The 26,876-nt window shown below is 42.8% G+C and overlaps 1 protein-coding gene across 5 annotated transcripts in view, besides 3 other annotated features; it reads right to left on the reverse strand.

The window, feature by feature from the left end:
• MBOAT1 (membrane bound glycerophospholipid O-acyltransferase 1) overlaps nucleotides 1–26,876 on the reverse strand; it is a 112,786-nt gene that overhangs the window by 80,969 nt on the left and 4,941 nt on the right. Inside the window, exon 1 of one of the 5 annotated variants that reach the window (XM_006714999.3) lies at nucleotides 26,286–26,351. The exons of the other annotated variants lie outside the window; for them this stretch is intronic. Coding sequence (XP_006715062.1) covers nucleotides 26,286–26,288 — 3 coding nt within the window. The 5' untranslated portion in view covers nucleotides 26,289–26,351. Of the gene's footprint in view, nucleotides 1–26,285; nucleotides 26,352–26,876 lie in introns of those variants that run through there. 5 annotated transcript variants of the gene reach the window in all.
• Nucleotides 8,011–8,512: an enhancer, noted in NCBI's record as "NANOG hESC enhancer chr6:20188894-20189395 (GRCh37/hg19 assembly coordinates)". NCBI's record gives its function as "activates a minimal SCP1, AML or CMV promoter by ChIP-STARR-seq in naive H9 embryonic stem cells {active_cell/tissue: H9 hESC(naive)}" and the evidence as "EXISTENCE:reporter gene assay evidence [ECO:0000049][PMID:30033119]".
• Nucleotides 16,929–16,978: an enhancer, noted in NCBI's record as "active region_24123". NCBI's record gives its function as "activates an Ori minimal core promoter by ATAC-STARR-seq in GM12878 lymphoblastoid cells {active_cell/tissue: GM12878}" and the evidence as "EXISTENCE:reporter gene assay evidence [ECO:0000049][PMID:35858748]".
• Nucleotides 25,347–26,098: an enhancer, noted in NCBI's record as "H3K27ac-H3K4me1 hESC enhancer chr6:20206230-20206981 (GRCh37/hg19 assembly coordinates)". NCBI's record gives its function as "activates a minimal SCP1, AML or CMV promoter by ChIP-STARR-seq in primed H9 embryonic stem cells {active_cell/tissue: H9 hESC(primed)}" and the evidence as "EXISTENCE:reporter gene assay evidence [ECO:0000049][PMID:30033119]".

The following is a 26,876-nucleotide window of genomic DNA, read 5'->3' on the forward strand; positions in this document are numbered from 1 at the left end:
TGAGCTGCCCTTAACCTCATGAGAATTGCTGGACTTTAAATATGAATTTCTGGCTTTTAAATTTGACACCATCTCTCTATTTTACCACTTAGCAAATACCAATTACTTGATACTTTTGATGTTTTACATTCAGAGACATACAATGTATCCATGGGCAAGTGCATTTAATGAAAACTTTCATTTAATAAATGGCATCTCTTACATAAACTTGCAACATGTTTTCCAATTGGAGACCTAGAAAGGCTTCATTAGAACTTAAAATTTAAGAATTAAAGAAAGTGAAATGACCAGGAACCAGTTTGATTTAGCCTAAGCTGAGTTTAATGAGACATATAATTAAAATAGAAATACTAGCAAATGATTACCTTGAGCCAATCAGTTTCAGGCAGTGCTAATAGCAGGTTAAAAATAGAAACAGGATGATTTCATCTTGCCTACTTCTCAGCTGCCAAAGTACTTGCCTGTTGAGGGCATTTCCCATCTTGTGGCTGCAGTGGGGAGAGATGAATTATGAATGACAATCTGGCCACAACTTCGACTGTTATGGTGACTCCCCGCTCCCCAGGTTCCACACTAAGATGAGGAAGCCCAGGCCACCTCTGGATGGCCAGAGCATCTCAGGAAGGATAAAGCCACCACAGGTGGAGGAGGAAACGCCACACCCTGGCCCATTTCACCTGCCCAGGGTGAGACCTTTCCTTTCTTAGATTTCTTTTCTTTCTCCTCCTAGTACCATCTCCCTTCTGCCTTCTTCTTCCCCTCCCTTTTCCACCCCCACTTGATTCTATTTTCTCCTGCTGGCCTTTGCGTCCATCTGTTTTCTTCTTTCTTGAACTCCAATATGGATGGAAAGTAGTCACAGACTCATTCAATTAAATAAAAATTCCCAGAGAGCCTCTCTCTGACTTCAGGGACTGTGCTACACCGTACTGTGCTTACAAAAATGGCAGAAGCTTTGCTATCCACCTTCTAGAGAAAGAAGTAAAACAAGCACAGCAGACCACTTACACATAAGGCGGCCTCGGTGCCCACGCGTGTGAAACACACACCCTGTGGGTGTCCAAAGGGGAGGGTGCACGCCTGCATGGAGACCAGATGATGAGGGAGGGATCGTTCTAAGTGGAGACTGTGTTTCCCAATATACAGCACTATGAGAGGGCAGGGTATATATGTTTATAATTTAGTGCCTCTGAATAATGAGAGATTAGTTTACATCTATAGTAAATTTAAGGAAGGGCTACCAGCACACAGAACTTCTCATAGACAACACTATGGGATACAAGAGCCTGGGCTCTAGAGTCGGAACAATTATGGTTTAAATCCCTGCTCATCTACAAAGATCACAGGGTAACCTATGTAGACGCCTGGGTTACCCTGGATAAATTGCTCAAATTCCTTGGTTATAAAATAGGCGTATAATGCCTATTTCCAGAGTTGTTAGGAGAATCTGAGTAATGCATGGAAAGTATTTGACATTGTCTTAGTCCATTCAGGCTGCTATAACAAAATACCTTAGACTAGGTAATTTGTAAACAACAGACATGTATTGCTCATGGATCCAGAGGCTGGGAAGTCCAAGAGCAAGCAGATTGGTGTCTGGGTGAGGACCCATTCCTCATAAATGGCACCTTCTACGTGTCCTTACATAGCAGAACGGCCAAACAAGCTCCCTCCAGTCTCTTATAAAAACACAAATCCCACACCAAAGGCCCACCTCTTAATATTATTGCATTAGGAATTAGGTTTCAACATATGAATTTTGGAAGGACACAAACATTCAGACCACAGCAACATCTAACATACTGCTAATCTTCCTCCTGAGTCCATACATAATTAAGGACCTCTCATTTCTGGAATATTGGGAAGAGACCTTCCTCTATTCTCTCCCTCAGTCTGCCCAAGGGAAGGGAATGAGTGACTCTGAGAGACCCTTTCTCCCAGGCGAGCAATGCCTTGGGTCTGTTCTCTGGCCTCTTTCCTAAGCTGCCAGCCCACAGACTGCCCCTTGCCCCTTCCTCCTGCCCCCAGTGAGCCAAACCCCTGTGACACCGTGCAGCTGCTCCAACCACGGCAGGGGTAAATCAGAACCATTCAGGTTGCAGGAGCTCCTCCCTTAACTCAGGTCCATATCGACACCTCCATTTTAGCTTTCTCCACATCAAAGTTGATATCTGGAACTCTGGCTGACACCTGTGTGTGTTTTCCGATTGATTGTCAACTCATAGGAGGGGGTGACAATGGAACTCTCAAACCCCAACCATTATTATAACTATGGGAGATGACAGGGAATTTTTCACAGATAGAACAGTTTCAGAAAACACAATGGAAAGGATTGGCAGTACATGCGTAAAAAGGACAAGTAATATAAAGTGCTCTTCAGACAGAGAAGCTCCCCAGCCTGATCTCCTACTCCTCTCCAGAGAGGCCAACCTGTAGCCACAGAGAACTCCCTGTCCTCTGCGTCACCTCCCCTTTATGACTCCCTCACTCAAGGCACCTGGCAGGCTGCCCTGTCCTCCAGGCTGGAAAGTAACTAAAATAAACTGTAACATAATCCATGGTATGATCTACCTGGAAAAAAAAATATGTTTACAGAAAGGAGAAGTCTGCAAGGATTCTACTAAAACAAACCAAAAAATAAGTTTACTAAGACTATGTGAGGATATCCCCAGCCCTCTATAGGTGAGCAGGTGCCACAACCAGCTGAGCCAGGTACAGCCACATGACACACCTGGGTCCAGCTGACCAGCTTGGCTCAACCACCATGACTGTGATGCTCACCCACTAACTCCCTTTGCTTCTGATTATACTTTGAATTTGCCAGGAAAGTCTCCTAGACAGGATATAAAAGCAATGGCTATCCAACATCAGTATTTTCATCCTGTTTATTAGCTGTGTAAGTCAAAGGAAATGGATAAAATGGCATTCCGTCTGGTTGGTATCCATCTCTCTAAGCCCTGCCAAGTGTTAAGTCCACCAACAAAAATCAGATTACTTAGCAAAGCTAAGAACAGTACCCAGAACAGTTGTGACTGCACAAAAGTATTGCTTCTGGCAAAACCCTGCCCAAAAGGCTTGCCAGCCCCAAAATGCCATTGATATCTCTTTGTATTAGTCTGTTTTCACACTGCTGATAAGGATATACCTGGGACTGGGAAGACAAAGAGGCTGAATTGGACTTACAGCTCCACATGGCTGGGGAGGCCTCTGAATCATGGCAGGAGGCGAAAGGCACTTCTTACATGGTGGCAGCAAGAGAAAAATGAGGAAGAAGTAAAAGTGGAAACCCCCAATAAACCCATCAGATCTCGTGAGACTTATTCACTATCATGAGAATAGCATAGGAAAGACTGGCCCCCATGATTCAATTATCTCCCCCTGTGTCCCTCACATAACACGTGGGAATTCTGGGAAACACAATTCAAGTTGAGATTTGGTGGGGACACAGCCAAACCATGTTACTCTTCCGTTTAAATTTAACAGTATTTTAGCAATGCATGGAGTCTTTGGACAGGAACTCAAAGCAAGAGGGGCAGGAAGAGGCAGGGACCTGCATCAGGCCCACCCATGAGGGGAGGGTATGTAGGGAACCACCCAGGTGCCAGCGCTGATGTGGAAGTCCAGCCTGGCTGGCAAAGCTAGTACCAAGGTTGGTAAAACCCCTAGTCCCCATGCAGATGGGGTTGGTGAGGGGGGACAGGTGGAGGACGGGACACTAAGGTAATGTCATGTCACAGCAGGTGGACAGAGAACAGTGGGTGATTATCTAGTGTAGCCCACACTGGCAGACAGGTGGGCAAGGGACGGACAATGACCCTTGGGAGTGGATCCTAGTCACTAAGCCAAGGTTCTGACTACACCTCAGTCCCTTGAAGGATGACAAGCCCCTGTGTGTCTATAAGCCCCAAATTTTGTGGTGAGCAGTTAGCGTGTCTCCCCACAACCATCCTCCGCCAAATGAACCATGGAGGACACAAATCCAGCTGTGTCTGTCCCAGGCTGAGAGCCCTTTAGGTACACCCTCATTCCCTACAGAATGGAACCCTGCCATCATCTTACCATTCTCCCTCTACTCCCTACATCTCTCCCCCTTTTAGGAAAGCTTCCCTCATCCTTACCCTCCTGCTCCCAACCCCTGAGCACATACACATGCTGGGCTAAATGTCTACCTCGAACCACCTCTGTACCACCTCTATACTACCTATATGTACCTAACATTATAACTGCAGTGTGTGTGTGTGTGTGTGTGTGTGTGTGTGTATTTTAGCTAAATTTGAGTTCTCTGAAGATAAGGACAAGTTTTATTCATCTGTGTAAGGGCAGGCATAGTGGCTCACATCCATAATCAGCACTTTGGGAGGCTGAGGTGAGAGGATCGCTTGAGGCAAGGAGTTCAAGATCAGCCTGGGTAGCATAGTGAGACCCCATCTCTACAAAAAAAAATTTAATTAGCTGGGCACAGTGACACATGCCTCAAGTATCAGCTACTCAGGAGGGTGAGGTGGGAGGATTGCTTGAGCCCAGGGGTTTGAGGCTACAGTGAGCTATGATCACACCACTGCACTCCAACCTGGGTGACAGTGACAGAGCAAGACCCTGACAATCAATCAATCAATCAATAGCAAATGTGATGGGTAATTTCATATGCCAACTTGGCTAGGCCAAAGTACCCAGATATTTGGTCAAACATTATTCTAGATGTTTCTGTGGAGGTATTTTCAGATTAAATTAATATTTAAATCAGTAGAATTTCAGTAAGGCAGGTTACCATGCATAATATTGGGGGGCCTCATCCAATCAATTGAAGGCCTTAATAGAAAAAGTTTGACCTCCCTGGAAGAAAAGGGAATTCTGACAGCAGACTGCCTTTGAACTTGAACTTCAAATCTTTCCTGGATCTCCAGATTTTAGACTTGTCAAGCCTCCATAATCTTTCGCTCTCTCCACACTTACATACAAATACACACATACACACCTGGTTGGTTTTGTTTTGTGTGGAGAACGCTGGCTAATATCTTAAGCCTAGCACCCATGACAGTGTCCAACATATGGCAACAAAAATTTATTTTATTCTCTAGGGTCCAAGCACTTTCCATATTTTTTCATCCCACCTCTTAACCAACCTATAAGACAAGTATTATTACCTCCACTTAACAGATGAAAAGACTAAAACACAGGGGAAGGTTTGGTAACTTGCTCAAGGCTTCATAGGTAGTTAATATCAATTCTACCTGCTGTCTCCCATCAATAAATGATTTGGGGCTCATGCCTCTAATCCCGATGCTTTGGGAGGCTGAGGTGGGAGGATCACTTGAGGCTAGGAGTTCAAGACCAGCCTAAGCAACAGAGCAAGACCTTGCCTCTAAAAAAAATACAAAATATTAGCCCAGCATGGTGGTGTACACCTGTAGTCCTGGCTACTCGGGAGGTTGAGGCTGGATGATCGCTTGAGCCTAGGAGCTTGAGGCTGCAGTAAGCTATGATAGTGCCACTGTACTCCAGCATGGGTCACAGTGAGACTGTATCAATCAATCAATCAGTCAGTCAATGATTTGGGAGGAAAACAATGGGAGTAAGAGGGCTGAATTTTGCTGAAAGCCAAAGTCTTGCTTATATGCAACATGTAGGAACAAAGAAAGCAGCACAAGGAGGCAGTGTCTTCACCTGCTTATGTGCGCCATCTCCAACAATGCTTCTGGCATATCTATTGACTGGGTCCTCTCTCTCCACTCTACAGCCCCAGCACTTAAAAACCCATGTGCCCTGGGTGTTGTCACCTTTCCTGGAGCCCAGGGTGAGGGAATCAAAACCAGAAAGAGAAATGAGAGTGTGTGAGATCTTATGTAGAATGGAGAAGAAACTGTTGCCTTGTACCACGTTGACTAGCAAGCTCTTCCCTGGGGCTAGTAGGTCTCTGAATCTGGAGGGTCCCCAACAAGGCCAGCCTGAAATGTCGCCACTTTGGGGCAGAGTCCTGGGGGAGGCTTTCAAGAAGTAGCACATATGTGAATATTTGATCAAAGGTACGTCTGTGGCAATGCAAAGAGCTAAAAACTGTATCTGGGTCTGGGACTTAAGACAACTACGTGAGAGAGACAACGTGTACTTCTGAAAGTAAATAAACTAACCAGAAATTCAGAGGAAAAGCCACAGAGACTTGGGTCAGGCTCAGTGATCAATTTCTAGTTAATTTAACAGGTTCTACACTCTGACATGGAGAAAGCAAAGCATAAGCTGTGGGCATCTGAGCCTTTCAGCTTTAAGCAAAACCTACAGCCTATAAACACGGTTAATGAAACAAATTTACCAAGTTAGGTGGAAATGTTTATTGCAAAGTTAAACTTATTGGGATAAAAATAACCTTTTATGTTTATTCCTCTAAAACATCTTTGACTACCATGACTTGCTCGTTCCGATATTAAAGTCCTCCCAAAGACATGAGACAGGATTCCTAAACTGCCTGGAATGTTTAAACGCCGACCAACAACTCCACTGGCACTAAATGAATTCAGATGTCTAGGCTTCTTACTGTGCCACATTTACTGATTCTGAAGGATGAGTAAAGTAGCAAGCATGCCATCTTGGAAAGAGCAGGGACTTTGGTGCCAATCAGTTTTGCCTTGGGCAAGGAATCTAATCTCGAGTCTAGGTCTCATCTGTAAAGTGAGGGAGGGAAAAGGATTATTATTAGGATAATTCTTAAAATTCCATAACAAGATACATACAACACATCCTGCACAAGCATCGAAATGGCCCCTCCACATGCAACTAATGCATACGGTGGGTGTTCATGGGGAGTGTGCCCCAGGGCAAGTCTCTGCTGTGGTTTCAGAGAGTTCACCTTCTCCTTCCCACTTTCCCACTGAAAATAGTTTCAAATTCTAGTTTTACAAATTTAAAATCATCTACAAAACCAGAAAAGATTCAGCTATCTCAATTTTCAACAAAGAAGAGAAGGAGGAAAAGAGAGTCACATCACTAAGTGGTAGACCCTGGATTCATGAATATGAAAGAATAAGTCAAAAAAAGAATAATGCCTATGGTCAGGTAAAGAAGGGAAGGAGACTGGTGGTACACACCTGTAATATCAGCACTTTGGGAGGCCAAGGCAGGAGGATCACTTGAGGCCAGGAGTTTGAGACCAGCCTGGGCAACAGGGTGAAACCCCATCTCTACAAAGAATACAAAAATTAGCTGAGTGTGGTGGCAAATGCCTGCAATCCCAGCTACATGGGAGGCTGAGGCGGGAGGATTGCTTGACCCCAGGAGGTCAAGGCTGCAGTGAGCCAAGATTGCACCACTGCACTAAGTGACAGAGCAAGACCTTGTCTCAAAAAAAAAGAGAGAGAAGAACTGTAAGAGAGCACAGGTTTTCTACCTACGTTTAAAAATAAAGTTACAGCACTATATGGATCATGTGTAAGAGGCAACCCTACGAACTACAAGGGCATCTAACGAGAAGGATTAGAGGGTATTCAGAGATGCCTCAGTCTTTGTAGAGACAAGAAACTGTAGGCTAAGAATGCTAAATAACACAATGCATACACACACATAAAAGCTGGCTTGTCCTTAGAAATAGCAAGTTGCCTAATCATCATGGGAGACATGAAATTCCCATGTGAGCAAAAATTTAGAACGAGTCCCTAAAGGAGTAAATGCTCAGACAAACCATACCATACATAGCATACTTACACCCTAGAAAATCCTGCTTCCTCCTGAAGACCCTCAGCACATTCCAGGTAGTTCTGTTACAGTCTCACCAATGCACCACAATGTAGTAATTTCTCATTCTGAGGTATTACCTGGCATTCTTTGTCTCACGACCAAGAGAATTAAGGAGTGTGGACACAAAGGGTGAGGTTGGAGGGAAAGTTTAATAAGCAAAAGAAGAAAGCTCTCTGCCGCAGAGAGAGGGCCCAGAAGAGGGTTGCCATTTTTACAGTTGAATGCAAAGCCTTTTATAAGAAACTGATGAGGGCTGGGTGTCTCATTTGCATAAGGTGTGAATTTCTGGTAGCTCCATGCCCTCCTCCTAATGCACATGCAGGCCCCTAGCTTGAGTTACTCCATATTGCTTTGTTCCCCTTACTGCATATGTATCAGGGGATGGAACTTTCCATTGTGGGTATGTCTGGGCCAGTCACTTGTGTAGTCTTTCTTATCTGTGTGGCTGTGGGCATGTCTTAGGCAAGCCCCCTGTGCAAGTTCCTTTATCTGTGCCTGCAGGTTGTTCTTTTGTTTGAAAGAACTCAACCAAGGACCCATCCTAAATGCATGCCTGACCAGTTTCTTCCTTTCCCACCTCTCAGTTCCTGAGGGGTAGATTCCTTCTTTATATTCCCTCAGAGTCTTGGAATTCTTAGAAAATTCCAACTAAGAAAGATCACACACAGAGCCCAGGAACCCATGTGTTTAAGAGCTGCCCAGAAGATCCTGATGGTGATCACCTTTTCAGAATCAGTGCTGTAAACCATGGACATTTTGCACCCCCTAAGAATGCCTTAGGTCCTTAGGACATTTTGAGACTCATCTACCATTTGATCATTTCCATCTACCTGGCTCCTTCTGAAGGATAAATTGGGATAAATTAATTTTCATATTTTCACTTACTCTTCAGTTGAATAAAAAACATTTTGAAATACACATAGATTGTGGAATGGCTCAGTCAAGCTAAGTACCATATGTATTACCTCACACACATCATTTATTTGTGGTGAGAACACTTAAAATCTACTTTCTAAGTAATTTTTTTTAAGAGACAGGGTCTCACTATGTTGCCCAGGCTGGAGTGCAGTGGTTATTCACAGGTGCGATCATAGCACACTACAGCCTTGAACTCCTGGGCCCAAGTGATCATCCTGCTTCAGCTTCCCAAATAGCTGGGATTACAGACATGCACCACTATACTCAGGTAGCAATTTTCAAGAATACAACACATTATTATTTTACCTATCATCACCATGTTGTACAATAGATCACTTGAACTTATTCTTTCTAACTAAAATTTATACCCTTTGAGCAACATATCCCTACCCACCTTCCCAACCCTAGCTCCTGGTAACCATCACTCTACTCTCTGCTTCTATGAGATCAACTTTTTAAGACTCCACTTCCAAGTGAGATCACATGGCATTTGTCTACCTGTGTCTGGCTTATTTCACTTAGCATAATGTCCCCCAGGTTCATCCATGTTGTACTAAAGGGCAGGATTTTCTTCTTTGTAAGGCTAAGTAGTATTCCACTATTTATGTATTACATTTCCTTCATTTATCTGTTGATGGACACTAAGGTTGATTCTATATCCTGGCTATTGTGAAAGCTCTAAGTTTTTTTTTTTTAATTTTTTCTTTTTTACCTTTTTCGAGAGAGTCTCACTCTGTCACCCAGGCTGCAGTGCAGTGATGCGATCTCGGCTCACTGCAACCTCCGCCTCCTGGGTTCAAGCAATTCTCCTGCCTCAGCCTCCCAAGTTGCTGGGACTACAGGCACCCGCCACCATGCCTGGCTAATTTTTGTATTTTTAGTAGAGATGGAGTTCCACTATGTTGGCCAGGCTGGTCTTGATCTCCTGACCTCATGATTCACCCACCTTGGCCTCCCAAAGTTCTGGGATTACAGGCATGAGCCACTGTACCTGGCCGCTCTAAGTTTTTAAATATGAAAATACTATGCTTGTTTAAAAAATATAAATGTAAATATCAAAAAGTAAAAGTCTTCTTCACCCTCCCCAGTAAGCCAGGTGATTGAGAGAGTCACGGCCAACATAACCTCTGTCTTTATTTTAATGACTGCCATTTCAGAACTACATAGATAGGAAGATAAAGTATTTTTACGTTTTAAATTTAATGGGACATGAGGTCATAATACACACTGCTCTACCACTTGTTCTTTTCACTCAGTATGATTAATACTTTTCAATGTGGCCTCATTTTCTATAATACTTGCATATAATTCCATAGCTTGAGTATACCATAATTAAATCTATTCCTCTACTGCTTCACATTTAGGAATCTTTCTATCTTTAAGTGCCCACTGAGAAAGGCCACTGCTTAAACCACTTACTTATTTGTCAATTAATACTAAAACAAGAATCGTAGACGATTCTGGATAAAAAGCAGAACTTCGGGCAGATAGGTAGGGATATCAGGCAGCCAGGAAGTAGTTTCTGTCAATGGCAATCATCACCAGACAGCCTCTGCCTGACCACCACCAGGGACAGGGGACTCATCAACTCCAGCAGTGATCAGAATTGATCTACACAAATCTCATTAATAAGGAACTCTACTTTATGATGAGTTGAAACCTACCTTCCTAAAGTTTCCATCCATTAGGCTTAATTCTGCTAAGGACACAGAATAATTATTCTCCTCAAACAGCCAATAATTGCTATCATATCTGCTGTGGTTTGAATATGTCCCTCAAAAGTTCATGTGTTGGAAACTTAATCCCCAATGCACCAGTGTATGAGGGCAGAATGGATTAATGTCATTACTGTAAAATCCAGGTTAGTTATCTCGAAAACAGGTTGCTATAAAGCAAGTCTGGCCCCTGGTGCCTCTCTGTCTCACACACTCACTTCCACCTTCTAATTTCCACCCTGGGATGACCCCTTGCCAAAATGCTGGCACCATGCTCTTGAACTTCCCAGCCTCTAGAACTGTGAACCCAATAAACATCTATTGTTTACAATTTACCCGGGCCATAGCATTGTGCTATAGCAGCAGAAAAAGACTAAGACAATATTATATTGAAGGCTTTCTCTAGTTTAACATCCCCCGCTTCCTCCAACAATGTCTCCTCATAAGAAATAGGTTCAAGGCCACACTTTCATGCTCACTTTCCTTCGGCTACACCTCAGTTTGCCAGTGTCCCTCCTAAAAGTTAACACCCAGCTTTAAGCCACTGAACACTTGGGAAAGTTATGACTTGACCAGCACAGAGTGGACCACTATGGCCACCTGCCTGCCACAGTATCACCTACTGCAGACGGAACAGCAAAATAAGTCCCCTGGGTCATTTCACCACATTGGACAAGCCCAACAGGGCAATTGCAGAGATGAGATGACCCATGTATTTAGCTCGATATAATAATATAGGAAGCAGTCAATTTTAAAAGGCATATTTATAGCTTTTATAGCTATATTATTATAGTACTAATAAAGCTATATTATTATAGTACTAATAAAGTACTATAACTGGAAGTTAAAGGTAGAAATACTCCCATATGATAGAACAAATAAGGGTACCTATGGCCCATACCTTTTCAGGAGTTATGCATATTTTCCTTTACATTGGAAGAGACAGAAAGAAGTTATGTCTTTTACATGTCCAACCAGTTGGAAAATAAGTAAACATTGTGGCTCAGCATCTGTTTTAGAAGACTACTAATTCTTTTTTTTAATTCCCACAGATGAAGCCACTCAAGTGACTAAGAATACACCCAAACTAACAACCTTCCATTCCACTGATAAGAACTAACGTTTACCTGATAAAAAGTCATTCCTTTGCAAGGTTCTTTCACACTTCCTGGGTACACTAAACTTATTTGCATTTCAGATTAGATTTCCACCCTCCCATTTCACAACAGTCAAAAATTTTTTTCTTTCCATCTGTCATCTATTTCTCACTTATTGCCTCCTTCTGCCTCATCTTTTCTGCCCTAAAGTAACTGAAGTTACTTTATCATCCCCTTGTTATCCTCCAAGTTGAGTCTCTTCTTTCTCTTCCAGCTACTAACTAAAAACCAAATTTTCCTTCCAAACACCACCCACACCCTCCTCACTGCCCAGGCATCCTATCTATTCATTAAGAGAGTCCCAAGAACACATTTAAGACCAAGACATTTCAGTGGAGTCTGACAATTGTCCAACTTAGACCATCAGAAATAAAGTCCTACAAGACAGAAAATGTGTATTTCTGACATTCAGTGCTGTAACAATGAAACCTTTTCTCTACTGGCTTCAAAAATGTGATGGGGCTGGCAATGGGAAATAACAGGAAACAACGCCTATCTGTTGCCTAAAGAGCGCACTAAAACCTTTCCCACGCTTCCCCAACCTCATCTGATATTCATAACAACCCCTTCATGTAGGTATGATTAGCTCATTTTGCAGATAAGGAATCAGGCTCCAAAAGTTTAAATATTTTGCCCAAGGTCACACGCTTAATAAATACTGGCTCCAGGCCTAGATCCCAGCTCTTCCTAGTCCTATGCCAGTGTTTTCCCCATTACCATAGCAAGGTGAGCTCACAGGACACACCTCAGGAGGAAACCCAAACATCAATTACACAACCTGGATCTGAAGCTTTGTCTACTTTTATTCAGCTGGTATGCTATAATTTCTTTTTTTTTTTTTTTTTTTTTTTTTTTTGAGACGGAGTCTCGCTCTGTCGCCCAGGCTGGAGTGCAGTGGCGAGATCTCGGCTCACTGCAAGCTCCGTCTCCCGGGTTCACGCCATTCTCCTGCCTCAGCCTCCAGAGTAGCTGGGACTACAGGTGCCCGCCACCGCGCCCGGCTAATTTTTTTGTATTTTTAGTAGAGACGGGGTTTCACCGTGTTAGCCAGGATGGTCTCGATCTCCTGACCTCCTGATCCGCCCGCCTAGGCCTCCCAGAGTGCTGGGATTACAGGCGTGAGCCACCGCGCCCGGCCTATAATTTCTTATAAGCAGATTTTTGCATGGATTCTTCTGGCTTAAACAAGATATGCTTAGTATGATTCTGTAATAAGGAGAGACTGAATCCGGTACCTGAGAGGCAGAATAGTATTTCCAAGGTCGGAACTTAATGAGAGACTACCTTGGTGAGCAATGGTAAATGCATGAAGATTTTCATTTGGGTATGGCTTTGATGTTTGATGTTATGGGCAGAGAAAAATACTTCTCTTATTAGAAAACCATTCATGAAAATTACCTGTGAGGAGCCTAAAGAGTCAAGAGGAACCAAAAATCCTTTTTTTTTTTTTTTTTTTTAAAGATGGAGTCTCGCTCTGTCACCAGGCTGGAGTGCAGTGGCACAATCTCTGCTCACTGCAACCTCTGCCTCCCGAGTTCAAGAGATTCTCCTCCCTCAGCCTCCCAAGTAGCTGGGACTATAGGCACCCGCCACCACACCCAGCTAATTTTTGTATTTTTAGTAAAGATGGGGTTTCACCATGTTGGCCAGGATGGTCTCGATCTCTTGACCTCATGATCTGCCCACCTCAGCCTCCCAAAGTGCTGTGATTACAGGTGTGAGCCACTGCGCCCAGCCAATCCTTTGTATCTTTACTGAAAATGAATTAGAATACATGCAAAGATTTGAATAAAGCTAAATTTAAAAAATAAATAAATCTAATCACAAACATATAACAGTGTAACTGCATATGACCTTTCCATTCTTCTATGAAATTCTCTAAATGGACGGCCTCAATGTCTATTTCTGACAATATTATAAGCTCAATGTTTACATAAATTGCACAACCAGTGATCCAAAAAAAAAAGCACGCATTTTTAAATAAACTGCATTTTTAGAATAGTTTTAAATTTACAGAAAAATTATTAGAATAACACAGAGTTCCCATATATTCTGCAACCAGTTTCCTCTATTATTAACATCTTCCATTAGTATAGTATATTTGTCACAGTTAATGCACCGATGGTGATATATTAACTTTATTCAGATTTCCTTAGTTTTTACCTAATTCCAGGATTCCATCCAGGTCACCATATTGCATTTACATGTCACATCTCCTTAGGCTTCTTTGGCTGTGGCAGTTTCTCAGAATTTTCTTGTTTTTGATTACCTTGGCAGTTATGAAGAGTACTGGTCAGGTATTTTGTAGAAACCCTCGATCGAGATTTCTCTGATGTTTTTCTCAGAGACAGGGGTTAAGGGTTATGGGTTTTTGCAAGGAAGACCACAGATGTAAAGTGCCATTTTCACCACATCATATTAAGGGTAACACACTATCCACAGAGCTACCACTGTTGATGCTGACTTTGATCACTCAGCTGAGGTAGTGTCTAACAGGTTTCTCCACTGGAAAGTTATTCTCCCCACTCCCCTTTCCATACTGTACTCTGGAGGGAAGTCACTATGCACAGCTCACATTTAAGGAGTGGAGAATTATGTTCCACCTTCTTAAGGGTGAGTGTCTACATAATTATGTGCAATTCTTCCACAGGGAGATTTGTCTATTTTCTCTATTTATTTGCCTATTCAATCATTTATTTATATCGGTATGAACTCACAGATGTTTATTTTATACTTTGAGTAATAACCCAAAATTTCTATAACCTATAGATTATAGATCTATAATCTAGACTTTTTTTTTTTTAGACAGGATCTAGCTCTGGCACCAACACTGGAGTGCAGTGGCTCAATCATGGCTTCACTGGAACCTCTGCCTCCCAGGCTCAAGGAATCCTCCCACCATGGCCTCCTGAATAGCTGGGACCATAGGCATATGCCACCATGCCCGGCTAATTTTTACATTTTTTGTAGAGATGGGGTTTTGCCATGATGCCCAGGCTAGTCTCAAACTCCTGGGCACAAGTGATCTGCCTGTCTCAGCCTCCGAAAGTGCTAGGATTACAGGCATGAGCCACCGTGCCAGCCTAGACTTCTCTATCTAATCTATACTTCCATAATCGAATGCTTTTTTACTTTGTTGCTCAGACTGTTCCAGCTTTGGCCACTGACAGCAGTTTCAGTTGGCTCCTATGTCCATTTGACATACTCTTATGACTTTTGGTTTTTCAGTTGGAATTCTTCCATACACTCTACCATATAAAATGTTCTAGGTTCACCTTGTATATATTCTGGCCCAATCCTAGAATCAAGCATTTCTCCAAAAAGCCTGGATTTTACTGGAAAATGGTCTTAGAAACCAAGATCCAGGCTTAAGTGTACTCGTTGCTAATGGAGTGTCACTTCTTGTAGACCTCTCAGCTGACAGGAAAATAAATTGCCTGTGTGTGTGTGTGTGTGTGTGTGTGTGTGCATGTGCACTAATCCTTGAATATACACAGATCTATAAATATGTTTATATGTAACCATCTGTATCTATATTAAACTAAACATGAGTTCATACTGATACACTGATGATTTTCATGCACAACCAAACTGTCAGAAAATAAGAAGATTCCTCAGATGCCAGAAATGCAAGAAAAAGCAAAAATCAGAGAGACAAGCACGCCTGGAGCTGGCATTTTTCCCTGGGGTATATACCCATCCAGGTGACCTAGAGTTTGGGCAAAGGAGACAAAGCAGGCTGAGAAGGGAGAGGTGGAAGGAAGAAAGGAAGGTTGTGCATAAAGCTAAGATTTATCCCAAAGCCAGGACCCCTCCTAAATTCTGAAGGGAGACACCTCACAGGGATGAGGCCCTCCCCACAGAGGGAAACAGCAGATGTGTTCTTATTTGGGCCTTGGCTCTGGACAGAGGGACAAAAAGTACAAAGACTCCCGTGAGAATGAGAGTTCGGGGGCCTAAACTCACATGCCCTGTGTGGCCAATAAAAATCCAAAGCAGCAAATGCAATTTAAGTGAGCCTGGATTGGGAATACCTCAGCTGCAGAAGCCCAAATTCTATCAAAAGGATTCCACTTTAAATCTGGTCTCAAAATATTCCCACAGATAATGCACAACAGAACATAAGCACCCAATCAAAAATCACCAAAGACCCTTGGAAATGTAAGAAGCTAGTCACAAAGACCACATACTGTATGATTCTGTTTATATTAAATGTCCAGGAGAGGCAAACTGAGTGAGAGAAAGTAGATCAGTAGTTGCCAGGATTGAGGAAGAAGGGGGGATAGGGAGGCAGAATCTGGGAGGAAAGGAGGACTACTAATGATCCAAGGTTCTTTAGATGGGATGAAAATGTTCTAAAATTCAATACCATTGTCATAATCTTGTGAATATATTAAAAAACAGTGAACTGCACCAGGTGCAGTGGCTCACACCTGTAATCCCAGCAATTTGGGAGGCCAAGGCAGGTGGATCACCTGAGGTCAGGAGTTCGAGACCAGCCTGGCCAACATGGTGATACCCCATCTCAACTAAAAACACAAAAATTAGCTGGGCATGATGGTGCATGTCTGTAATCCCAGCTACTTGGGAGGCTGAGGCAGGAGAATCACTTGAACCCAGGAGGTGGAGGTTGCAGTGAGCCGAGAGAGCACCATTTGCACTCCAGCCTGGGCAACAAGAGCGAAACTCCATCTCAAAAAAAAAAACAAACAAACAAAAAAAAAACTGAACTGTACACTTTAAACAGGGGAATTACAAGGTAAGGTATGAGATCCCAGAATAGAAAGAAGACATTGATGGAAAAATTGGTGAAATTCAAATTCTGAAGTTTAATGGTTATATACCAATGTTGGTTTTGTAGTTTTGACAAATATACCATAGTTATGTAAGATGATAACACTGGGGTAACCAGGGTGAGATGTATATGAAACCTCTCCATACTATCTTTACAAATTTTTTTTTTTAAATAGATGGGAGTCTCACTATGTTGCTTAGGCTGGTCTCAAACTCCTGAGCTCAAGGGATCCTCCTGCCTCAGCCTCCCATGTAGCTGGGCTTAGAAACACGTGCCTCCAGTGAAAGGAAAATAAATTTCAGGACCCCAGAATCACTAAGCCAAAGGGAAGTCAGGCTGGGAACTGCATCACGTAAACCTGCCTCCCATTTTATTCCTAAATAAGATAGCTACAAAGATAAAATAGCTACATACCACCTCACAATCTGCCCACCAGGAAATTCCTTGTGGACAAAGGACAGGCAGAACTCAAAGCCATCCCTCTGCCCACGTGACACAAATGCATACCGGATGGCTTCCTCTGCCCTATGGTTTCACTAAGCCAGACTAAGCAAAAGTGACTGTTCCTCTATGCTCCCCTCACATGTAAATTGTGTATTCAGTGAAAGGCTAATCAGAAACTCAAAAGAATGCAACATTTGTCTCTTATCTACCTATGACCTGGAAGCCCCCTCCCCTGCTTTGAGTTGTCCCACCTTTTAGGATAGAACCAATGTACATCTTACACATATTGATTGATGTCTCATGTCTCCCTAAAATGTATAAAACCAAGCTGTGCCCTGACCACTTTGGGTACATGTCGTCAGGACCCCCTGAGGCTGTGTCACAGGTGTATCCTTAACCTGGCAAAATAAACTTTCTAAATTGATTGAGAGCTGTCTCAGATATTTTGGGTTCACATTCCACACCTGGCTATCTCTACAACTTTTCTTTAAATCTAAAAATATTACAAAATTAAAAGTTTATTTTTAAAAAAGCAGCTGGCTGGTCACAGTGGCTCACACCTGTAATCCAGCACTTTGGGAGTCTGAGGCGGGTGAAACACTTGAGGTCAGGAGTTTGAGACCAGCCTGGTCAACATGGTGAAACCCCATTTCTACTAAAAATACAAAAAAATTAGCCAGGCATGGTGGCAGGTGCTTGTAATCCCAGCTACTTGGGAGGTTGAGGCAGGAGAATCACTTGAACCCGGGAGGCAGAGGTTGCAGTGAGCCAAGATCGTGCCACTGCACTCCATCCTGGGCAACAGGGCAAGACTGTGTCTCAAAAAAAAAAAAAAAGAAAGAAAGAAAAAAGAAAAGAAAAAATCACCTAAGAACGTGTTCCATCTAATACGAAGCAAATGGCAATCTTCTAAAATCCTGCAAGTCATTTCTTGAAATGCCCGTGAGACCCTTGGTACTTTCCGTTGAGGTAAAGAAGGTTCATTGCAAAATAACATAACAAAGGTGCTCTCTAAAGACCATCAAGTACAAGACCCTCTTCAGGAAATGAGATGCATTAGTGGCCCACCCTATCTATCATTGCCTAACTAGCATTTTCTAGTCTTCACTGATGGTCACTCTACCATCTTGTGACTTTTCTTAGTCAATTCATTGACATTTAAGTTCATTTCCTTTTGTTTAGCAATTTTCAGCCTAGTTGTTCTTGTGACCATTTTTCTTGCTCTTTTCTAACTTCTCCAGTTCTTCTAGAAACTTTGCAGCAGGGAACCAAATCTAGACACATATTACTCTAATAAACATTTGAAGGTTGCCAAGTATACAAGAGGTTTTTCAGCTCTCATAAAAAGTCGTAAGCAGTCAATTTCTAAATTGTTTTATAGCCCACTAGCTTCCTCAGGATTTTCTCTGCAATTTCAACCAGCTAAGATAAACAGCCATAATTCATCATTCATTGTTAATGTTAAATCAAGTTTAGCCTAAAGTTGCCTCCTTACGTATTTTAAGTTCGACCTAAATGTTCTTCTGTACATCGTAAACTTTAACAAGTGGAGGTGTAAACAGACCGTACCTACATACTAGTGTCAATCACCGAGTTTTGGCCAATCAAATGTAGCCAAATGTTCGAATCCTCTTCAAAGAAGGCAAAGGCCAACCTGTAACCAGTCCAGCTGTTTCTGTACCTTACTTCCATTTCCTGTACTTCACTTTCTTTTTTCTGTCCATAAATCTTCCACCATATGGCTGTGCTGGAGTCTCACAGCCTACTCCGGCTTGGGAGGCTGCTTGATTCGGGAATCATTTATTGCTCAGTTAAACTTCTTTAAATTTAATTTGGCTAAAGTTTTTAGTTTATCATTAAGATGAAACAGAGCTTCACCCTCTATCTTGATGAAATGATTGTTTTAATATACAGCCTCACTTTGCCCTTCTTTTAAACTAACAAAACTGGTAATGAGATTAATATATTTCTAAAGACACTCTAAATACATCTGTAGAAAGAAAAAAACCTGCGTACATCAACTTAAGTTTTGCACCATAGTAAAACTAAGTATGAAACTGGGTAAACTTTAACTCAACAAGACTGAAAGTACCAAAAACAAACAAACAAACAAAAAACTTAGTCTTTTACTTCCTTTTTGTAAACTCCCAGTCTGCATACATGAATAAGAAAGAAGAAAATCCTCTTTTTGTCCTTCCTTCCACAATTTATATAAACTGGCTTTCTGAATTTAATTCTGTATAAATGTTCATTTGCCTCCTTTTTGTTAAATAATGTGCAGGGCCAGGTGCGGTGGCTCACGCCCATAATCCCAGCACTTTGGGAGGCTGAAATAGGCAGATCACAAGGTCAGGAGTTTGAGACCAGCCTGGCCAACATGGTGAAACCCTGTCTCTACTAAAAATACAAAAATTAGCCAGGTGTGGTGGCGGGCACCTATAATCCCAGCTACTTGGGAGGCTGAGGCAGGAGAATCGCTTGAAACCAGAGGGCGGAGGTTGCAGTGAGCCAAGATCGTGCCACTGCACTCCAGCCTGGGCAACAGGGTAAGACTCTGTCTCAAAAAAAAATAAAATAATGGAATAATGTGCAGATAAGTTAACATTTATTGTATGGGGACAATGGGCAATTATCTTTTACTAGAATGCAGAAAGGAGGCTATAAACACCTCAACATCCCTAATGGACAAAAAATAGAAGCTCTTTGCAAGATCTTTCTGCCAGAGTATAGTTCACATGTTCCTAAGGCATCCTGGCCTTACTCTAGGTGAGATGAAAGAAGACAGAAGATTCCAGAGCCCCAAAGGTCAACTCAGTTCACCCAACATGCGCTGAATTGCACACATTTCATTTGGAGAAATAAGAAAGCAAATTATACAGGTACGATCTTTTTAGCTAAGTCTACTGAAATTGGAAGAAAAAATAGTCTTGGTTTGTCATCTTTACCTTCAAAATGTATTATTTTACAAGCTAAAACCAACCCTTCTGCACTAAGGTTGAAGGTCTTGAAATTCCAGAGCCAAATTGGTCTTAAAGAGTACTGTTTCCAGGAGATGGGGATATCAAGAATTCTGGATAGTCTACTGCCACCAGGCCAGTAGGAGGCAGAGCCATTTTTATCCCTAAGGCACAAGAGATGAGGGAATAGTTAATGTCCCTTACGTCCATGTCCCAAGTTACTTCTCTCCATTTAAGGGGACACTAGAAACAAACCCCAAGTCTTCGGCCTCCCCCAGCTCATTGCTCTTCCCCTCATGGGTCCCACTGTAAGTAGCACTCCGGAGTGTCCATATTCCTGGGGAATGTGAGCAGAGCAGACAGTGTCACCATGGAAGGACCCCTCTCCAACCCTCTCACTCCCCCAATACCATAACTTTCAGCATTTGCTAAAGGAGAAAGTGTAGGGTGACCGGTCCCCCACCAGGTTATTTAAGGGTGTATGTCCGCTGCTTGAACCTTGAAGGGTGGGCAGTCAGCCAAGGTCATGGTGCTCAGCCAAGGAGCAGGTGTTCCTGAGAACCTAAACATCCCGGAGAGTATCTGCGAACATATCTACAAAAAAATACACAGTTGCATCACTCAAACACAGGAGGCAAAGAGCCAGAAAGTCATCTCAAAAGCAGTTTAGACACAAGAGGTGATGAGGATCTCTAGAGCTGTCCTGCTGCCACCCAGGAGTGTCCCATATGTAAGTCCTAATAAATTCACCTACTCGCCAAGTTGGACTTATCTGAGTTATTCTTTGGTCTCTCAGCTCCTTCCCAGTTTGTGGAGGAGTTATAACTCCAGATTTTTCTCATAACACAAAGCCATGGCTGGAAGAACAGAAACAAAGCCTTCAGAAAAGGCAGAAAGGAAGTTCAAAAGTCACCAGAGCTCTGTATATACAGACATGAATCAATCCCTAAGAGACACTGTTAAGTTGAAAGGAAGAAAGGAAGAAAAGAAGGGAGGGAGGGAGGGAACCATACGCTATCACTTATGTCAGAAAATAAGACAAAAAGATTCTGGGCATATGTAGACACAGACTATCTCTGAAATCATGCAACTAAACCATGGAAATCTGGCCAGCTGGAAACAAGGGAAGCAGGGGTGAGAGAGATGGACCTTTCCTTATATTCCATTTTCTGCTTATGACTTCGATAGTAAGTGCCTGTACTATCTAATCAGATAAGTGATTTTTTTTTTTTTTTGAGATGGAGTCTCATACTGTCGTCCAGGCTGGAGTGCAGTGGCGTGATCTCAGCTCAGTGCAACCTCCGCCTCCTGGGTTCAAGCAATTCTCCTGCCTCAGCCTCCCGAGTAGCTGGGACTACAGGCATGCATCACCACACCCGGCTAATTTTTGTATTTTTAGTAGAGATGGGGGTTTCACCATGTTGGCCAAGCTGGTCTCAAACTCCTGACCTCAAGTGATCCACCCACCGTGGCCTCTCCAAGTGCTAGGATTACAGAGCTGAGCCACCCTGCCCGGCTGGAAAAGTGATTTTTGTTAACTGTATCTATATAAAATAAAAGCTTTAAAAAAATCAATAAAAAATAAAAATTTAAAAGAATGTAATAGATAAATAAAATAAAAACAGAGAGCAAAAAATAATACTGGGGCAGGGGGTGGGGGAGTCTTAGGAACAAAGAAGTCTCAATCTAGTGACACTCACAGTTAAACCACTTCATGTAATTTCATGAAATGACTTTTGAGTTTAGCAACTTCCTGTAAGCCTTAGCAACCTTTTGCTGTGTACCTTTGCTGACTCATCTGTTTCAAGTCAGCCACAGAATGATGAATGAAACAAACTTAAAAAATAAATAAACAAATGAATAACAGAATATTTTAAATTTTTAATTCCTTGTTTGAAATAAGAGTTTAGGACAACTTGAACACAAACTTTTCAAATGTACCCTTGCTCTTCTCCAAATTACATTAGAACCTGAGTTCCCTGGTTTTCGTTTTGTTTTGTAAATAAACCTGAGAATGGAATATTTATAATAAAATGATAGTTTGCTGGAAATCCCCAGCAATATCAGCCCAGAAACCTTCATTCAACTTTAAACTGTTCAAGGTGATTGTGGACTTTCAAAACCATCTCTCAAATTAGTCAGTTTTACTAAACCATAAAAGAAGATTAACCACTGGTAACTTTAAAAAATTAAAAACAGAGCTCCACTAATACAAGGAAGTTGGTAAATGATTTATCAAGGGCTTTTTTTTTTTTTGGATAACTAAAAATCACATTGCAAATAGGTTAATGAATTAATCTTTTTGCAGATAGTTACATTTCTTAAGCCCAAAGAAATAGTTATCTTTTAATAAAGCACATTTTTAACCAGTACAAACTATTTGGAGCTACTTTTCCCACTGACGACTCTCTATCCTTGTGTTTGCCTGGCAAAACTACTAGAAATTGACATTAATGAGACTGCAATAAGTTATCCCTTTATCTTGTTTACTAAAAGAGCTGACTTAAAATAGAAAGCCTTTGAAAAGCACACAGCCACTGTTACTAAGTGACATAAACTGAATTCTTTATACAAGTCACTGGTACAAAAGATATTTCCAGATTTTATCTCTTTAGATATAATCTTTTCATGAAATTTTCCTTTATAAATGTAATTCCTGGCTGGGTGTGGTGGCTTCCGCCTGTAATCCCAGCACTTTGGGAGGCCAAGGCAGGAGGATCACTTAAGCCCAGGAGTTCAAGACCAGCCTGGGCAACACAGTGAGACCCTGTCTCAATAAAAAATAAAAATAAAATAATAAATGTAATTCCAAGGCCAAGCTACAGAATACTTGAGAGTATTTGACTATATGGCATCTTTCGTATGTATGACTTGATTTTAGACTGCTAAAGGAAATTTCTACATGTTCACAGAAATCTGAAACAACTGGGCCAAAAAAAAAAAGATACTAATAGCTGCATTTATAACTGGAGGTGATGAGTATATCAACTGCACACAATGAAAATGGGAATAGAGTATGTCATCTTTAAATAACTCAAGATAAACATTTCACTACCAGCAAGTGAGCCATGAATTAACTTTCAAATTAGAAATTGGTCCCATTTAATCTGATATTCAGGTTCCAAATAATAAACAGGCCTAATTCAGTTGGTAAAAAGAACTGGCTCCCAATTTTATCTTAATTAAGTCATTCATTCCAATCCAAAAATGTAAATAAAATTCCATTTCAATTCAACAAACATGTATTTAGTTCCTACTTTGTGCTAACCATACAAAGATGACGAAGATTCATCTTCAGTGGTGGTAAATAAAATTAGTAAGGAGCAATTATTTTGGACCGAGCTCCTGCACCAGGCCCCAACAGACCAGACCAAACCAGAATGGAGTCACTGATGCCAGGAGCTATATAAACAAACAACTTTACAATGGGCCCGTTTAAAAAAAAAAAAAAAATAGGAGATTCACAGCAACCAACAGAAAAGGGGCCCAGTCTACCTGAGCCAGCATAAGGAAGTCCCATCTTTTTTAACCTTATAAGGAAAGTAACTTTGCTTGTTATTCTTTGCTTCTGCTTTCTTCAGCCTTTTCTACCTGTAAAGTCCACCTCTTCAGCTCAGCTCAGCCTTGCTGTTTTACAGATGGGAAGCTGCCTGATTCATGAATCACTAATAAAAGACAATTCCATCTTTAAATTCAATTTGTTAACATTTTCTTCTTTGATAATGATCACTACCCATAAAGAATGAGACTCTCTTCTCTTCCTCCTAGAATATTCTGACTGTCTCACCTGGCCCCTCTCCCCTCTAATTTCCCTCCTGCTTCTAAAGTAGCTGCTCCCAGGAAGTTCTCCCCTAGCACTGTCTCAGGAGAGGCCCAGAGATGCCGAGGCCCCGTGTCCTCTGGCAGTGGTGTGTGCATTGGGCACGTGATATTTCAAGGCTTACAGGCAAACAGCAGTTTACCAAGTATCTACATGTTTGTCTCACAGAAGGCACAGATAACTCACTAATCTCTGTATCTCCATTTAGCCCACTAGCATACAGCGCTCAGTAAGTAACTATGGAAAGATGCCTCTCAGAGTCAGGCAGGACAGAGAGACCAATAAATATCTAAGAAGTAAAGTAAAAGGCAGAGCAATGTGATATGGATAGGACGCTATGGAGAAACAGAGAGAAAGAAGGGGTCCATTTGGCCCTGGTGGGGAGGGAGGGCTGGGTTACAGAGGGAAGACGAGGAGAGGATTTTAGGGCCCAGCCTGAAAACAGGAATTGAGGACCAGGATGAGGAATAAACCTCCAAGGAGAAGGAAGTGTGTGTGTGCAGAGGCTGGAGGGTATGAAAGACACACTGTGTTTGAGGGATAGGAAGTAAAGAGTTCACTGTGCTGAAAGCACAGCACACAGGGAAAATGGTGCTGGAATGCAGTGCAGCAACCAGGAGCACGGCCTCCAGTGACAGACCTGAGTTCGAGTCCTGCCTCTGCCCCTTCCCAGCTACAAGCAAGTAACATAAGCCCTGGGGGCTGCTTCCTAACTTGAAATTTGGGGAACAGGCTGGGTGTGGTAGCTCACAACTATAATCCCCGCATTTTGGGAGGCTGAGGTGAGAGGATCGTTTCAGGCCAGGAGTTTAAGACCAGCCTGAGCAACATGGCAAGACCACATCTCTATAAAAAATACAAAAAAATTAGCCAGGTGGGGTGGTATGCACCTTTAGTCCCAGCTACTTGGGAAGCTGAGGCAGGAGGATTGCTTGAGCTCAAGAGTTTGAGACTGCAGGGTGCCATGATCAAGCCAGTGTACTCTACCCTAGGCAACAGAGTGAGATCCCATCTCAGAAAGAAAAGAGAGAAAAGGAAGGAGGAAAGAAGAAAAGAAAGAAGAAATTTAGGGAAAGAAGGAAGAAATTTGGGGAATAACTTTTAGTGCTGTATTAACTGAGAGAATGTATGCAGAGCAGTGCTGAGAGCGTAAGCATTCAATGTATGGAGTTGTCAGTGTCCTTAAGCCAGACAGGTAAACTGAGGCCAAGCTGTGAAGAATCACCTCTTGTTCCACAACAGGAAGGCTAAAGCTCCAGGACACACTAGGCCTTTGCTTCAAATGCCAGGGAATATATGGCCATACCTGTGATCTCTCTGTCCTCCCTTCAATTATCGTCAAATCTAGCCACTAGACTGTGACACCAGTCAGCAGTCTCTGGTAGGCCAGCCCATCTTCTGGACTTATCCAGAATCCCCCAGCATGGAGACCGCCCATCTTCACACAGGCTCTGAGGGACAGTCCCCAACTCCACCAGGCCTGTCCTCTGCAACTCTGTGGACCTGGGGGTTTATACCTCACCATCGTACCCCCAACACATCTACATTCAATGCCCTCAGACTGCTTCCAAAAGGCCCCCCCACCCACCTGCTAACAGCAAGCTCTTCAGAACCACAGAGGAACTTTCCACCACATGAACGTGCAGCTCCAGGAGGGACTGCAAAGCTCAGAGTCAGTCACTGGACACCACCTCATCAGGGCTCTGAGACCCTAGGGGGGCCACCCTACCTGCCCAGACCCCTCCAACTCCTCCCCAACCCTCACTCGCGGCTCGCAAGCTCCACTTCTCAACTTGCATCCACGTGCTGCCCCTAACTTCCTTCTCCCCCTCCTGTGTGACTCATCTTCCCACTGCCTTCCTCCCTCCACTGCTGACCTTCTTCACAAAGCCCACCCTCTGTTCTCATTTTACCATCACGACAGCAAAGCCAAGGTCAGAAGCAGCAGGTCAGAGCTTTTCCAGACCTCCCACTGCTGCTTTGCACTGTTTTCTTTTTCTTTTTTTTTGAGATGGAGTCTCGCTCTGTCACCCAGGCTGGAGTACAGTGGCACAATCTTGGCTTACTGCAACTTCCCCATCCTGGGTTCAAGTGATTCTCTTGCCTCAGCCTCCCGAGTAGCTAGGACTGCAGGCTTGTGCCACCACACCTGGCTAATTTTTGTATTTTTAGTAAAGATGGGGTTTCGCCATGTTGGCCAGGCTGGTCTCAAACTCCTGACCTCAGGTGATCTGGCCGCCTCGGCCTCCCAAAGTGCTGGGATTACAGGCGTGAGCCACCAAGCCCAGCCACTTTGTACTATTTTCCTTCCACTATCCTCATAGGAAAGCTTTCCTCCCTCCAGACTCCCCCACACTCCTAATATTACATGAGAGGATGCATGCAGAGGCATGGGCTGAGTGCATGACAGACAGCAGGCCGGGTCACACCCCCTCTGCTCCCTCTTCCTGCTTTCAGAATCTGCCCACCTCTGGTGACTCCTCCATATTCCTGGACACCTTAGGGACCTCATAGTCTTCTCCACCGCAACTCCCCAAATTCACCTGGGTACCGTCAATGTCAAGAAGGACAATCCATCAAATACAAATACCCCAGTTCCCCTGCTTGCTACACTCAACAGACTTTCACCCCCACCCTCAGGCGCACACCCCGATTTTCATCATCACCCAGAAAGACTTCACTAGAAATCCTTCACTCACATATCCCAGCCCTCCAGCTCTCTCACTTCCTCTGCACCTGCCCTCCACGACCCACCATCGCAAGAAGTTTTCCTCTTCACTCTTACCACCACCAACTACTTGTCAGCATCTTTCAATATCTGAGCTTCTTAACTTCCCAACAACCTTCTCTGAAAATTTCTGTTTCACTTTTGTTTCTGAAAGGAGCTGCTGAAAGAAAAAAAGCACATATTTGTGCATATTCATCCGTCTAAAAATGTATACTTGACAGTAGGTTGATTATACTCAGCAGCTCATTCAATTGACCTTGTCAGTGCTTTCTCAATTTCCCTTAAATACTTCTCTAACCCTGCACTCATCCGCAAAACCCTTGCTTCCTCCTCCATCCCTACTTCCTTCAGTGAGGACCTTCCGTATGCCTTCACAAAATGAAAATCTTTTCACAACTTAAACCCTGCGATGTCCTCCCTTGACTATAGTAATGGCTCTCAAACTTTAGTTGGCATAAGAATCACTCGGGAAGTACCCTCACACCCTGATATTCAAATTCAGCAGGACGGGGCAGGATCCCAGAAACACCCATGGCAGAAGATTCTGATGACAATCCATGCACCATATTTCAGGAGATACGATTATCATGCCAAATCCAGCCCACTGCCTGTTTCTG

The sequence above is a fragment of the Homo sapiens genome, chromosome 6 (genome assembly GCF_000001405.40).
Source record: "Homo sapiens chromosome 6, GRCh38.p14 Primary Assembly".
In the NCBI taxonomy this organism is placed as follows: domain Eukaryota; kingdom Metazoa; phylum Chordata; class Mammalia; order Primates; family Hominidae; genus Homo; species Homo sapiens.